Genomic DNA, 14,002 nt, shown 5'->3' on the forward strand with positions numbered 1-14,002 from the left:
TTTTATAAATAAGAAATTAAGATCTGAGGAGAGCATATTCTCCCAAAGTTCTCACAACTGTGATGATTTCTTTTTCTTTTCCTTTTTTTTTTTTTTTTTTTTTGAAAGGAGTCTCGCTCTGTTGCCAGGCTGGAGTGTTATGGCGCGATCTCGGCCCACTGCAACATCCACCTCCTGGGTTCAAGCAATTCTCCTGTCTCAGCCTCCTGAGTAGCTGGGATTACAAGTGAGTGCCACCATGCCCAGCTAATTTTTTTTTGTATTTTTAGTAGAGATGGGGTTTCACCATGTCGGTCAGGCTGGTCTCGAACTCCTGACCTCATGATCCACCTGCCTCGGCCTCCCAAAGTGCTGGAACTACAGACGTGAGCCACTGCACCTGGCTGGTTGTGCTGATTTCTAACCCAGTGTGACCACTGCCCCATCCACCTGGCCTCTGCCATGGCATCTCCCCAGCTCACCAGACCCATGGAACACCCAGACCCAGCCTACCTTTCTCCATATGCCCTGTGAAGAATGTGCCTCCCCAGATCTGTGAGAATGCAACATTTCTTTCCAGGGAAGCCTGTTTCTGACCTCGCTGGCATTCCCCTGCCTATCTTGATAATTTCCTGGGGGATCTGAGTCTGCCAGGTGCCTGTCCTACTCTGCCAGCTGCAGGTCTCACTGACTGTGCCCGAGCCCATCCTGAGGGTATGAAGGATGGCAGCAGCTGTCTTTCCCAACCAGGGTCAAAAAATGCCACGCTTTCTCCAAGTCCAGGCCACGCTAGTTTGAGAGTAAAGGGAAGTGGCAGTTTCTGAGCGTGATGGCATCTTCTTTCAACTGCAGTGCTGAGAAATTGCTGGCCTTCCTTTCTCAGGAGGCTTGGTGACTTACGTGTGAAATCCTAGCATGGCTCAGATATTCTCAAAGCTCAGAATCTGCTGAGGCTCTGCTACCTTTAGGGCTCATGGGCTCCCGAATAGCCCTTGGTGTCCGTCAATGCTGCCTGCCGGTGGCCCCAGGTGCTCAGGGTGGCTGAGTTGTAGCTTGTCCCAGCCCTGTTCTGTGTTGGTTGAATGTGGCATTGGCTCTGCCTTGTGTTTCTGCTTTGCCTTCTGCTGGACAGGCCTGTAGCACCCTGTCCTGGACTCCAGCCCAGCCTGCCTGGGCACTGCAGGCCCTCCAAGGGTCCCACACCAGTCATAGGCAGAATTCTGAGAGGCCTTACAATTCCCACCCCGTGGTATACACGCCCCAGTGTAATCCCTTCCCCATGGCTGGAGGCCAAGCTGCAAATCTGATGGCCTTCCTGCTAGTGATGAGGGTGCAAAGGTGAAGAACCTTGCAGATGTAATTTGCAGATGTAATGAAGCTCCTTAATGAGTTGCCTTTGAGATGATCAAAAGGGAAATCCCCTGAGCCTTTAAAATAGCCAGGATCTTCCTAAAGAGAGAGATTCCAAACAGGAGAGGGACGCCCCTGCTGGTCTTGGGGAAGTAAGCGTCGTGTCCCGAGGGGCCCTGCCTGGGTGGAACCAGGGAGGGAGGTGTGTGGCCTCTTGGTGTGGCAGGGAGCAGGTGTGGCCTCTAGGTGCTGAGAGGAGCCTCTGGCCATCGCCTGGCAAGAAAGCTGGGACTTGCTCATTCCATTGCAAGGAACTAAATTTGGCCAAGAACCACAGGAACTTGGAAGGGGACCCAGCTCCAGAGGGGACTGTATCCCCACTGACATCTTGATTTTAGCCTGGTGAGACCCTCAGCCAAGGACCCTGCCCAGGCTTCTGATCTACAGAAACTATAAGACAGTAAAGACATGGTGTTTTAAGTTGCTGAGTTCATGGTGCCTTGTAACACAGCAATGGGAAACTAATACAGTGCCCCCAACTCCCTCTCCCCCTACCCACAGGGGTCAGATTTTTAGCACAGCTAGTAGGGTCTCCTTATTGTCTCTGCCACTGTGTGACTTCTAGATTGGCCTGAAAACTGGAATCCCATTCTTCATACTCATCCTAAGGCTTAAGCCCTGACATGGGTGATGGCCCCAGGCCTTGGGCTACAGCTTATCCCAGGATGAGCCCCTCTGCCCCATGCACCTCAGTGAACAGGAGGATGGAGCAGGCGCAGGGCCCCAGTGGTCCTTTTTCAGTGGGCTCTACTCTTCATGGCTCTGTTCCTAGTTCCCATCAGGTCATTTCTAGGAACTTACAGGAACCGCAAAACCCAGGCCTTCCCTAAAGAAGATAAAGAAATATTACCATTGTTCCAAGCATTGGTACAATGCAAGGTCTTGAGTCTCAAGACCACAGTAACTTGAGACTCAAGAGGAGTGAAGATTTTTTAGAATTACAGTGCCTTCTGCTATCTGCAGGGTTGAGAAATTGTCATTTCATAGGGGGATTGGTGATTTATTTCTGAAATTCTTAGGAGAGATTGCAATGAGAAGAGAAATATCACCAAAGTCTCAAAGCTGCTGACCAGCTTATTTAAAATTATGCAATATATTCAGCAAACACTTAGGGCAAACCACAGGAAAAACAGAGGATAAAATTGATTGCCTTATGGAAAACAGTTGGAAATGTAAAGCCCAAAAATGTGTCAATAAAGATGGAAAATGGAGTAAGATCCCCATTTGATCTCCGTTTATGTAACATAATAATTTTTAAAACTCTTTTGATTTTGATGTAATTATAGATGCACAGGAAGTTGCAAAAATGGTGCACAGAGTGCCATGCCTTTTATCCGCTTCCCCCAGTAGTGATATTTTATACCACTACAGTACAATATCACAGACAGGAAACCGATATTGGTACATGCTATGGCTTGAATTGTGTGTCTGAAGTCCTAACCACCAGTACTTCAAAATGTGACCCTTGAAAGTAGTGCCATTTCAGATGTCATTAGTTAAGATGGAGTTACAGTGGAATAGGGCAGCCTGAATACCATATGACTGGCATCCTTAGAAGAAGACGGCATGTGAAGATAGACCCGCACAGGAGAAGTGCCATGGGGTGAGAAAGGCAGAGATCTGAGTTATGCAGCTGCAAGCCAAGGAATGCCAAAGGTGGCCAGAAAACCACCAGAAGCCAGGAAGAGGCAAGGAAGGATTTGGACTTTCAGGTTTTAGAGAGGGGTTCAGCTCCCTAGTCCGCCCTGCTGATCATTGGCAGAATGTTTTCCATGGATGTTTGGCTGGAGAAGAATAGTTATTGTCAAAAATACCTTCTGTTGTGTTAGACTGCTATTTCCCCAGTCCTGCAGCTGCAGGAAGCAGGCTTTTCTTGGGACATGTCTGTCTACAGTGGTTGGTGGTTCCAGGTTGCAAGTTTCTCCAGTGCTTTGGCTGAATTACATGGAAACATAAAGAAAATCCAGGCACCTCACCGTAGTGCCAACCTCAAGTCCCAAGGTCTCTAAGAAGTCACCTTGCTCTTTCCACCTCTCAGAGTCTTCCTAGGTTTGACTGTTTTTACTGTAGTAAAATATACATAACACAAAATGTATGATTTAACCAGTTTTAGGTGTATGGTTCTAAGTATACTTAGTATAGCACTTAAGTACATTAACATTGTGGGGCAACCATCACTACCACCCTTCTCTAGAATACTTTTCATCTTGCAAAACTGAAACTGATTCATTAAACACCATTTCTCCCTATTTCTGCCTCCCCCCAGCCCTTGGAAACCACCATTCTAATAACTGTTGCTATGATTTTTGAAGTATTTGTCCTTTTGTGACTGGCTTATCTCACTTGAAATAATGTCCTCAGCGTTCATCTATGTTGTAGCATGTGTCAGGATTTCCTTTCTAAGGCTGGATGACATTCCATTGCATATACTGCATTTTGTTTATCTCCTTCTTTGTTGATGGGACACTCAGGTTGCATCTGCCTCTTGGCTATTGTGAATAATGCTTCTATGAATGTGGGGGTACACAGATCTGTTTAAGTCCTTGCTTTTAATTCTTTTGGGTAAACACCCAGAAATTGGATTGCTGGGTCATCTGGTAATTCTGTCTAATTTTTTATGTTCGACTTTTATGTTATGTCCAGCAATTCTTTTTTTATTTTCAAGAGGGATGTCTAGGGATGAAATGGGGTTGCTCCACCTTGGCTAGAACTAGCAAGCTAAATCAACTTAAAAAATATTCTTATCAGCTAAACCCCATTTACAGAATAGCCAATGTGTCCCTTGAAGTTTGTGTCAAGAACATGAACACACTTCTCCTTAGAATCCTTACCTGCTTCCAGTGCTCAGGAAATCTTCCTGAGGGATGATTTTGTTCCAGGCCTTCTGGTCAACCGTGGAGCCTGAAACCACGGAGGCAAATTATTTTCTTTCTTCTTCAGTGTGATTTTCCTTCTCCTTCATACAACTGCTAATGTGTAAGTAAAACATAGTTGTTACAATAAACGCCATACTGACCCTTTTCATTTTTGAAGAAGTGTTCATTTTCATTACCTCATTCATCCTCATCAACCGCTGTGAAGGAAGCAGTCAAGGCCTAGGCTTTATCTCTACTTCATAGACAAGGAAATGGACTTGGAGTCAATTTGGGATGAGAATTCTGAAACTTCCCATGCAGAAGCCACTGCTCTTTCAACATAATTCCCATATGATTTGATTAAAGGAATGGTAAGAGCACCACTTCAGCATTTCAGACAATCAACCTCATCTCTACCAGTAGAGAGTGTCTGTTAATGGGGCTGTACCTCATTCCCTAGCCTGGGAACTATGGGAGAAGGGTAAGGATGGAGGGAGCATGCTGGTGGATTGAGAACATCTGGTTTGAATCTGGCATTGGAAAGGATCTTAACTCTGTTACCCCAGGTCTGTAGTTCTCTTTCTGATTTATCATTGGTGCTGCAGTGTTATATCCTGGAGTAGGACATCAGCGTTAGTACAAACTGAAGCACGTTTCTTGTGAATACTGTGAATTTGGGATCACCTCCAATGGAAGATTGTGCGTGGGGTAGTTTAGTAGTAAATCAGATCACATCAGGCTAGGGCTAATAGAGCCAAAGGCAGCAGGAGGGAACAGAAGAAACCCCTGGGCACTTTGGCTGATGGACACATTGGAGTCTAAGAGTCGTTTGCCTTGCCCGGGCCTGGGATGTTGACCAATTGATCCCATGAAGCTCTCCAAGCAGAAGGTCAGATGAAGACTCAGAGCTCTGCCTCCCAGAGCATGATAAGGTTTGATCAGAATTTGCAGGCAGATTCTCAGCCTAGGGGTCCCGTGGACCTACAGCCTTGCTCTGGAGCCTTCAGCCTCCCTGGATGGCAAGCCCAAGTTCCCATAGAAATGCCCAGTTGTAGTTGTAAAGCAGACTTCATGAGTAGTTTTTCCACCTATGTCAGCATTCTCCCCACGTTATTATGAACTACGCTATGTCAGAACACCAACTCTCAGCTCTGGGAAGACAAGTGAGATGTCAGGATTTCTGGGCAAGAGCACCCTAGCTACCCCTCTATAAAAAGAAAATGTTTTTCTACTTTGTTTTCACCGCTAGACATGCAGTAGGTTCATCTGCAACATGAACAGCTTGTGTAACTTCCTGCTCATTTTCCTGTGTAGCGTAATAGTTGAGTTCTCTCTTTAATGACCTCATTAAATTAACAAGTTAGGGTTGACTCTCAGCTTCTTTCTATCCCTTATACAGTAGTCCCCCTTGTTGATAGTTTCACTTTCTGGGATTCCAGTTACCCTCGGTATGGTACAATAAGATATTTTGAGAGAGAGACCAAATTTATGTAACTTTTATTACAGTATTTTTTCATAATTGTTCTATTTTATTTTTTGTTATTGTTGTTAAATCTCTTACGGTGCCTAATTCATACAACAAGCTTTATCATAGGTCTGTATGTATAGGAAAAAGCATATTGTATATAGAGTTCCCTAAAATCCGATGCTCAACCATCCACTGGGGGTCTTGCAATGTGTTCCCATGGATAGGGAGGGGCGGCTACTGTAATAGGAATGAAATAGGAGTGGAAATTTAGTTTCTGTTACAACCTTTAAACTCAGAAGATTATAAGTAAAATCTCAGGAAATCATGTGCTGCACCGAATGAAGAAAATGGCTTCTTTTGGTCTTCCATTTGTCACATTTTCAGCCTCTTAATGTTGCAGAACTTTTCCTTAGTTCAGCTAAAGACGGGGTTCTTTGTCCCATGGCCACAAAAATTCAGGCTTGCAGACAACTTGAATAATGAGTAAGACAGGGTTTTACTGGGTGAAAAGGAAGAAAATGGGCGAAACAGGGACTCTCGCAGGGCCAGAGTCCCTGCTAGAGCGCTTCCCACCCGGGTTCCACACAGGAATCTTGGATTCCACACAGGAAGAAGAGGGGCCCGGCTCCTCTCCCACCGCAAATAGTGTGAACTTCCCGAGGGTCCGCCCCATTGCGTGGGCAGGTTGGAGTTTTTCCAGGAACCCCCTCCCACCTGGATGCCTCATTAAATAATGTGGTAGCCAGCACCAAAGTGTTGATGCACCAGTGTCTAGCTTTGGGGAGTGTGACATCCAGACATTGGGTGGAAGGGCCAGCCTGTCCCCATGATAAGGCTCCTAACATCCCTCCTACTCTCCAATCACAACAGCTTCTGATAGGTCTCCATCTCCACTCCCCCAGAGTAAAATTTATGAACATTCTGCAGAAAAGAGTCCCTTGGCTCTCACTTACAGCCTATTAAAAAAAAATTTTTGTGTGTGTGTTTAACCAACTTAGCAGATTCGAATAGAGGAAAGAGGCTACATCTTTATGGCAATTATTATTTTTTTTTTTTTACAAAATATTATCCAAAGTAATGAAAACATTAAAAACAACCTGAAATGGTGACTGTGGTAGGATGCATGATGGCCTGTCAAAATGTCCACATCTGAATCCCCCAAACCTGTGAATGTGTCATATTATGTTAGCAGGAGAGAACTGAGGCAGCAGATGGAATGCAGGTTGTGTCAGGTGACCTGGGGATGGGGAGAGGGTCCTGGATTCTCCAGGTGGGCCCAATGCCGTCACAGGTCCTGATAGTTGGGAGAGAGAGGTGGAAGGCTCTCCATGCAGTGCTGTGAGGGCTCCGGCCTTGACAGGCTTTGAGGGTGGAGGAGCAGCCCCTGGAAGCTGGACAAGGCAAGGACAGTTTCTCCCTGGGCTACACGTCTATTTCAGTCTAGTGAAACTGACTTCAGACCCCTGACCTCAGGAACTGTAAGATAAACAATGTGTGTTGCCACTGAGTCTGAATAGCCCTTGTCCAAAACGCTTGGGACCAGCACTCTTTCAGATTTTGGATTTTGCATTTTTTCAGCTTTTGGAATATTTGTACATACATATTGAGATATCTTGGGGATGGGATCCAAGTCTAAATACAAAATTCATTCACATTTTATATACATCTTGTACACATAGCCTGAAGGTAACTTTTATTATTTAACATATTTTAAACATTTATTATTGAAATTATTTAAATATTTTAAATTAGGAATGCTCAGCCTATAATTTGTTATATCAGCGAGAGGAAACTAATAAAATAACATGGCAAAACGCCTGATTCCCCAAGCTTTCAGGACAGGTAAGATTGTAATTGTAACTTATGTAGGAAAACAGACGCTTGGGTTGCCTGGGGCAGTGGGTGGTGGGACGCCTCTGTCCTTGCTCTCTCCCTACCCTGCACACGCCTGCTGCTACTCTCATCAGTGGGTGGAGTTCATTTCCTTTTCTCTTTATCAACAGAATGTGGCAGAATTGGCCGGAAGCAGAATTGCCTGTTTCCAGTGAGGCCCCCTTGCCCTCTTGGAAGCAATTGCTGTGTAGGAAGTCTGAACACCTCACAGGAGATGGAGGCCAGTTCCTGCCTGCTGTAGCCACCCAGCTGAAGGGGGTCCAGACACGAGTGGAGGCATTGTGACCTCCAGCCTCAGCAGACACCTCCACACTGCGCAGGGCAGAGCAACCACGCCACCGAGTGAGCCCCATTTGCAGACTTTGAGCAAATAATGATTGTGCACGTTGGATCATTTATTGAGTTTCTCTCGTACACCAAGCACTGGTTGGATCCCATGCTTGTTGGTGACAGAACTGCTGTGATGCCAGTCCTGCGTCCCCTTCAGCCTGTGAAGGAGGAGCACCATGAACCAGCCAACTAACACGTGTCTAATCACATAAAGGGAACTGAACACCAGAGAGCCACAGTCACTTTCCGAAGGTCACACAGCAAGTGCAAATGAGGCCTCATCCTCAGGGCTGGGTTCCAGGCCTGCTGGGCAGGTCGGTTACTGCTGCACAAAATTTCTGTTATCCTAAAATTGTTTCAGACAAGCACCAAAGGACGTCCCATAGTTCTGCTTGACTAAGGTTTAATGAAGTTAATGTTCATACTTTCCACTCTATTTTTCCACTCTTTAAGGATCCAAATTTTCTTGGTGTAGCTGCGTATAAAAGTTTAACTATTACAGAGATAACCACAAAATTTGATGAGGCTTCATTGAGTGGAAAACACTGTAGTCCAAATAAATGCAGAAATCATTGGTTTGGGAACCAAGGGATAAAATGCTCCCAGCTGTGGCAGTTCCTCTTCTACCTTCTTTGAGTGAATTTGCAACACAGAAAAAGGCTGATGAAGCTGAGACATTGATTATCAAAGTGCCTTCACTTCCCAGAACCATCTGACGCAAGATAGAATCCAGCTATGCTTAATCACCACTTACACAGCACTTTCTGAAATGCTTTCTACATCTTAGGGTAGGTTTTATTTTCTCTTAATGGAGGGGTTTTCCCAGGCTTGTAGGGGACATAGTCTTCTCTGTCCCTTCCTTATCTTGGCTTCTTCTTTGTTTTTATTGTGGTAAAATACACAAAGCATGATGTTGACTGGGTTAACCATTTTTAAGCATACAATTCAGTGGTATTAAATTTACTCATAATATTGTGCCCCCATCACCACCATCTATCTCCACAACTCTTTTTATCTTATAAAATGGAAACTCTGTACTCATTAAACAACAAGTCTCCATTCTCTTCTCCACTCACCTCTGGCAACCACTGTTCTTTCTGTCTCTATGATTTTATGAAGTACTCTGTGTACCTCATGTCAGTGGAATCATACAGTATTTGTCCTTCTGTAACTGGCTTATTTCACTTGAGCACAGTGTTCTCAGAGTTCATCCTTCGTATACCACGTGTCAGCATTTTCTTCCTTTTTAAAGCTGAATAATATTCCATTGCATGTATAGACCACATTTTGCTTATCCATTTATGTATTGATGGACACTTGAGTTGCTTCCACTTCTTGGCTGTTGTGAATAATGATATTATAAACAGGGATATGCAAAAGCCTCTTCAAGTCCTTGCTTTTAATTCTTTTGGGTATGTACACAGTAGTGGAGTTCAGGATCATATGGTAATTCTGTGTTTAATTTTTTGAGGGTCTGCCATACTGTTTTCCAGTGGCTGCACCATTTTACATTCCTTGTGCAAACAATGCACAAGGGTTCCAATTTCTCTATATTCTTGCCAACATCTGTTAGTTTCTGTTTTCTTCCTGGTAGCCATCATTATGGGTGTGGAGTGGTCTCTTGGCTCCTTCTTGACAGGGGTTCTCTTTGGAATCCGTACCTGCCAGCCAGGATCCCTGTCTACTGGCTGCTCCTTGGTCCTGTGGAGCTTTGCTCCTGCACTCTGCCAAGCTCTGAGGCTGGCCTCTGTTTAGGCTGCTGATAGACACCTGTCTTCATGCTAAGGCCTAGCTGACTGGCTGAGCCAACCTACTCCTCCAGGGCCTGCCCAACCCTGATGGGTGCCTGACGCAGGCCTGGAACATCTTGCTGCCTTCTCGTACTCACAGCTTAGGAAGCAAAAAGCAAGCCAGGTGTTCATACTTCTCTGCTGGGGACATAACAAATGGCATGACAAATACTAAAGCAATAAATGAACTGAAAAATAAATGAGTTGGCAATTATTTATCACAGAATTATCTGAGATGGTATTTCAAATTATTTCTCCCCTTAAAAAAAAGGATATTTTTTTACGGCATGAAGAGTCAAATGTAAAAGTAAAGAAATGAAAACAATCAGATGGAGAGAGATGAATATTTATCAGATTCCAGGATGAACATGGGCTTTGTAATTGTAATTCTTTGGGGAAAATTAATTCACCAGAAGCCCCCCTGGGAAGGGCATGGTAATTGCTGAAAAGATGCCTGATAAGCCACATACACGGGAGGGAGATTCCCTTAGGAAGGGCAAAGGGATTGCAAAACTGCCTTCCAGAAAGCTGAGGACCTTGCTAATGAGCTGACTTTATGTTCTGCTAAGAGCTGGTAGATGGTTTAGGGACAAATATCAGGCACTGTGCAATGGAGGGGAGGGAATTTGAGGTTTTGGTGGGGTTCAGGAAGATACCCTGGGGGGAATTCATTTGTATTTCATAAAAATTAATAACTTCTGAAAACAGCAACAACAAAAATGTACCATGAGCAGAAATAAGAGTACTTAAGAAACTAAGAGAAATGTTTTCAGCAAAGATGAATAAAGTTTAGTTGGTATATTTTCAGCACTCCCTATGAAAGGCACTCAGACTCCTGAAGAAAATTGTTCAAGGTCATTAGATAAGTCAGGGGCCCCTGAGAAAAAGAGCAGAAGATGGGAGGATTTTATTCAGGGAAATGGGGGGTGAGAGGGAAGAGAGGGGAGGACTGACAGAAAGCTTGACTCCAGAGAGAGAGAGAGAAAGTTGGGAGGGAGTGCGCTGGACACCCTGGGGATTCCAGGAACACCAGAAAGAGGACTCTCCAGTTCCAGGAGCTGGGCCTTGGTCTCCCAGCCATGCCCTGGTGAGTGGGAGCCGCCCCTGGGCAGCGTGGCCTCAGTCCCAGTGCAGCCTTGGTTTCCCAGCAGCAGCGGGGCCTGGGTCATCTATACTTTCTGTGGTTGGAGTCTTGAGGTGCATTTTGTCGGCCAGCACAGATGTGACAAGAGAGTCCCAAAGGAAGGCAGGCAGATGGCTGAGGAGCATTTCTGTAGGGTGTCCTCAGCCCTCTGAGAAAGCTTCCCACAGCAAAGTTCCGTGCTGAGGCATAGAGACCTTCCGCACTGTCCTCAGGGCCTAAACTATGTAACCACAGCAGAATCAAAGATCTCCAAATCTCAAGCACAGTCCCTTAGTGCACCTCCCCATCCTGTGGTTGTCCAACCTGTGTCTGAATACCTCCCATAACAGGGTGCTCATTCACTTCTGTGACATTTCTGGACACGTCTTGAAGAGCTGTGGGTACAGAGCACCCTTGACTTAACTAACTCCATCTTAGAAAAAGGCTCCATTTTATGTTCACAGAGCACTTTACCAACAAGGATAAGATATTTTGTTTAATAAATGAATTAAAAAAAATAAGACTGCATCCAACAAGATAAGGTCATAAACAAGAATGCTCTTCTCTATCTGTTCTCACCAGAGGACTCTGACTAGAAAAGATTAGGCCTTCAGCAGCCTGGAATTGGCCATCCTAACTGACACCATCTTGCAGTCACTTGTGATAAGAGCTGGGCATCTGCTTCCAAAGGCTCTGCAGCATCAAATACTCTGCATTGCAAAACCAGTGGACCACCTCGCCTAGACAAGGGCTCCTTTAGCTACCCCTGGACTGGTTTGTTCACTTTTTCTTCTATCTGTTTTGCCCTTTGATGTTAAATGTTACTTTGTTTGTTGTAGAATGTTTAGCCTATAACATTCATATATTGATTAAGTATACTATGATGTATGGTGTGCAATACTGACTGGCTTGTGGGGTGACTTGAGCCTGTGTGCTCAGGACTATGTGCCCGTGACTCCCTAGTGCATGGGAAGTGTGATGGAGAATTGCCTTCTTGGGAACTCCATGTAGCTCATGGCTTTTGTGATTGAAATACCTTCAATAAAAGCCTGACATTGTGGAAAGACACACACGTGCATGGATCTGGTTATTTCTAACCTTGTACCACTTATGCCATCATGCGACCGAAAGCGGAGTCCACAGGTCACAGATCTGCCTGATCTCTTTAGAAATGCAGAGCATCAGGCCCACCCTCTACCTAAGGAGCGAGTGAGCATCTTCCTCTTTGTAGATCCCAGAGCTATGCATACACGTTGCAGGGTGAGAAGCAGTTCCTCAAGGTGGCTGCTGTAGCCTGAGCTAGCATTCACTCCCTCCAACTGTTAGCCTGGGTCTTAGTTTTGCTTTGTATAACCACAGCAATGGCCTTGCTCCCTTCCCTCCATAATGGCACAGTGAAGAAGTGCCATGGCAGTCAGCTCTGGTCTGGGTAAGTGTCCTGCCCTGGAGGAGTGAGGAGTGCAGGAGTTCCCACTTCAGGTGGGCAGAGATGGGATAGGAGCGGCTAGCTTTGGGGATAAGGTAAAAGTCTTTGTGCTTACGATTTAAGGATTGAGGGCAAGAATGGCCCAGATTGTCAGGGCCTTGAATGTCAGTCTGAGGACTTTGTTCTGTGAACAGCAGATGGTGCAGGTATGGGAGGGTGATGTCCACATGGCTCTCCAGCCTGGACCCCGGACCCTTCTCCTCCAGCGCGGGACCCAAATCCTCCCTCGCAGCTCCTCCACCTGGATGGCTTCCAGGAACCTTGCTCTGGACTGAATTATGTCCCCACAATATTCATATGTGGAAGCCCTAACCCCAGTGCAGCTGGATTTAGAGATGGAGCCTCTAAGAAGGTAAATGCAATTAAATGAGGTCATGAGAGCAGGGCTCTGACCCCATAAGGGACACCGACTGGGTGAGGTGGCTCATGCCTGTAATCCCAGCACTTTGGGAGGCTGAGGCGGGTGGATTACCTGAGGTCAGGAGTTTGAGACCAGCCTGGCCAACATGGTGAAACCCCGTCTTTACTAAAAATACAACAAAATTAGCTGGGCATGGTGATGGGCACCTGCAGTTCTAGCTACTCGAGGCTGAGGCAGGAAAGAATCACTTGAACACGGGAGGCAGAGGTTGCAGTGAGCTGAGATCGCACCGTTGCACTCCAGCCTGGGCAACAGAGCGAGACTCTGTCTTAAATAAATAAATAAACAAATAACATAAAAAGAAGGGACACCAGAGAGTTCTCTCTGTCTCTCTCTGTGAAGGCACAGTGAGAAGGTATCATTTACATGCCAGAAAACGGCCCTCCGTGGAAACCAATTCAGCTGTGCCTTGATCTAGAATTCCAACTTCCAGAGCTGTGGGAAATGAATGTCTGCTGTTTCAGCTGCCCAGCCTGTGGTGTTTTGCTGTGGCAGCCTGAGCTAAGACAACCTAAAATGCAGTGTCTTCTTCAGAGAACTGAGGATTTCTCCCACAGAACCTGCCCTCCCCTGCGTTCCTGGTCACTGACAGCACCACTGCAAGCCTGGTTTCCTGGCTGGGAAGCCCCTGACCTCTCCTCCTCCTCTGTCCCCTGCATCTACACAGTCACCCCATGGTGCGGCTTTACATTCTCCTCAGCCCGTGTCTCTGACCCTCTGGCTGCTGCCTGGGTGCAAGCTGCCTTAACCTCCAGCCAGCGATGGCGGCAGCTTTCTAGGTGACTTTCCTGCCCCTAAGTCCTGCCTGCAGCCCCTCATCCCACCCTATATACTGTGGACATTTTTCCAGATCCTTCTAAAGGGACTCGTTTGATGAAGTCACCCCACCATCACACACTCCTGGGCTCCACTGCTGCAGGAAGAGGTGCAAGTTACTCTGTACAAACGCGATGGTGTTGACCTTGCCTGCTGGCCTCTTAGCTCACAGAAGCCATTCTCCCTGCCCTTCCCCACCCTCCCCACCCACATGACCAGTGACCCATGGCCCAAGTCTGCCAGGCTCCCGTCTTGCATGGGAGCCTCTGCACATGCGCTTTCTTCTCCTTGGAGTATCTTTTCCTCCCCCACCTCATTACCTTCCAACCCCCTCACCTTTGAGCCTCAGCTGAGCTTCTTTAGGAAGTACCTCCCTACCTCCCAGACTCCAAGGCAGCAGTCTCCAGGCCCCTGTGGCTGCTGAGCTCCTG

General features: G+C 46.2%; 1 long non-coding RNA gene across 1 annotated transcript in view, besides 2 other annotated features; it reads left to right on the forward strand.

The window, feature by feature from the left end:
* The window catches only part of LINC00841 (long intergenic non-protein coding RNA 841), a 71,970-nt gene extending 63,443 nt beyond the window's left edge, over positions 1-8,527 (forward strand). The window contains exon 5 of the long non-coding RNA NR_136147.1: positions 7,716-8,527. This is a non-coding gene — a long non-coding RNA (long intergenic non-protein coding RNA 841). The remainder of the gene's footprint in view (positions 1-7,715) is intronic.
* Positions 7,393-7,894: an enhancer, noted in NCBI's record as "H3K4me1 hESC enhancer chr10:44475579-44476080 (GRCh37/hg19 assembly coordinates)". NCBI's record gives its function as "activates a minimal SCP1, AML or CMV promoter by ChIP-STARR-seq in naive H9 embryonic stem cells {active_cell/tissue: H9 hESC(naive)}" and the evidence as "EXISTENCE:reporter gene assay evidence [ECO:0000049][PMID:30033119]".
* Positions 7,895-8,394: an enhancer, noted in NCBI's record as "H3K4me1 hESC enhancer chr10:44476081-44476580 (GRCh37/hg19 assembly coordinates)". NCBI's record gives its function as "activates a minimal SCP1, AML or CMV promoter by ChIP-STARR-seq in naive H9 embryonic stem cells {active_cell/tissue: H9 hESC(naive)}" and the evidence as "EXISTENCE:reporter gene assay evidence [ECO:0000049][PMID:30033119]".
* Positions 8,528-14,002: the final 5,475 nt, after the last annotated feature.

The sequence above is a fragment of the Homo sapiens genome, chromosome 10 (genome assembly GCF_000001405.40).
Source record: "Homo sapiens chromosome 10, GRCh38.p14 Primary Assembly".
In the NCBI taxonomy this organism is placed as follows: Eukaryota; Metazoa; Chordata; class Mammalia; order Primates; family Hominidae; genus Homo; species Homo sapiens.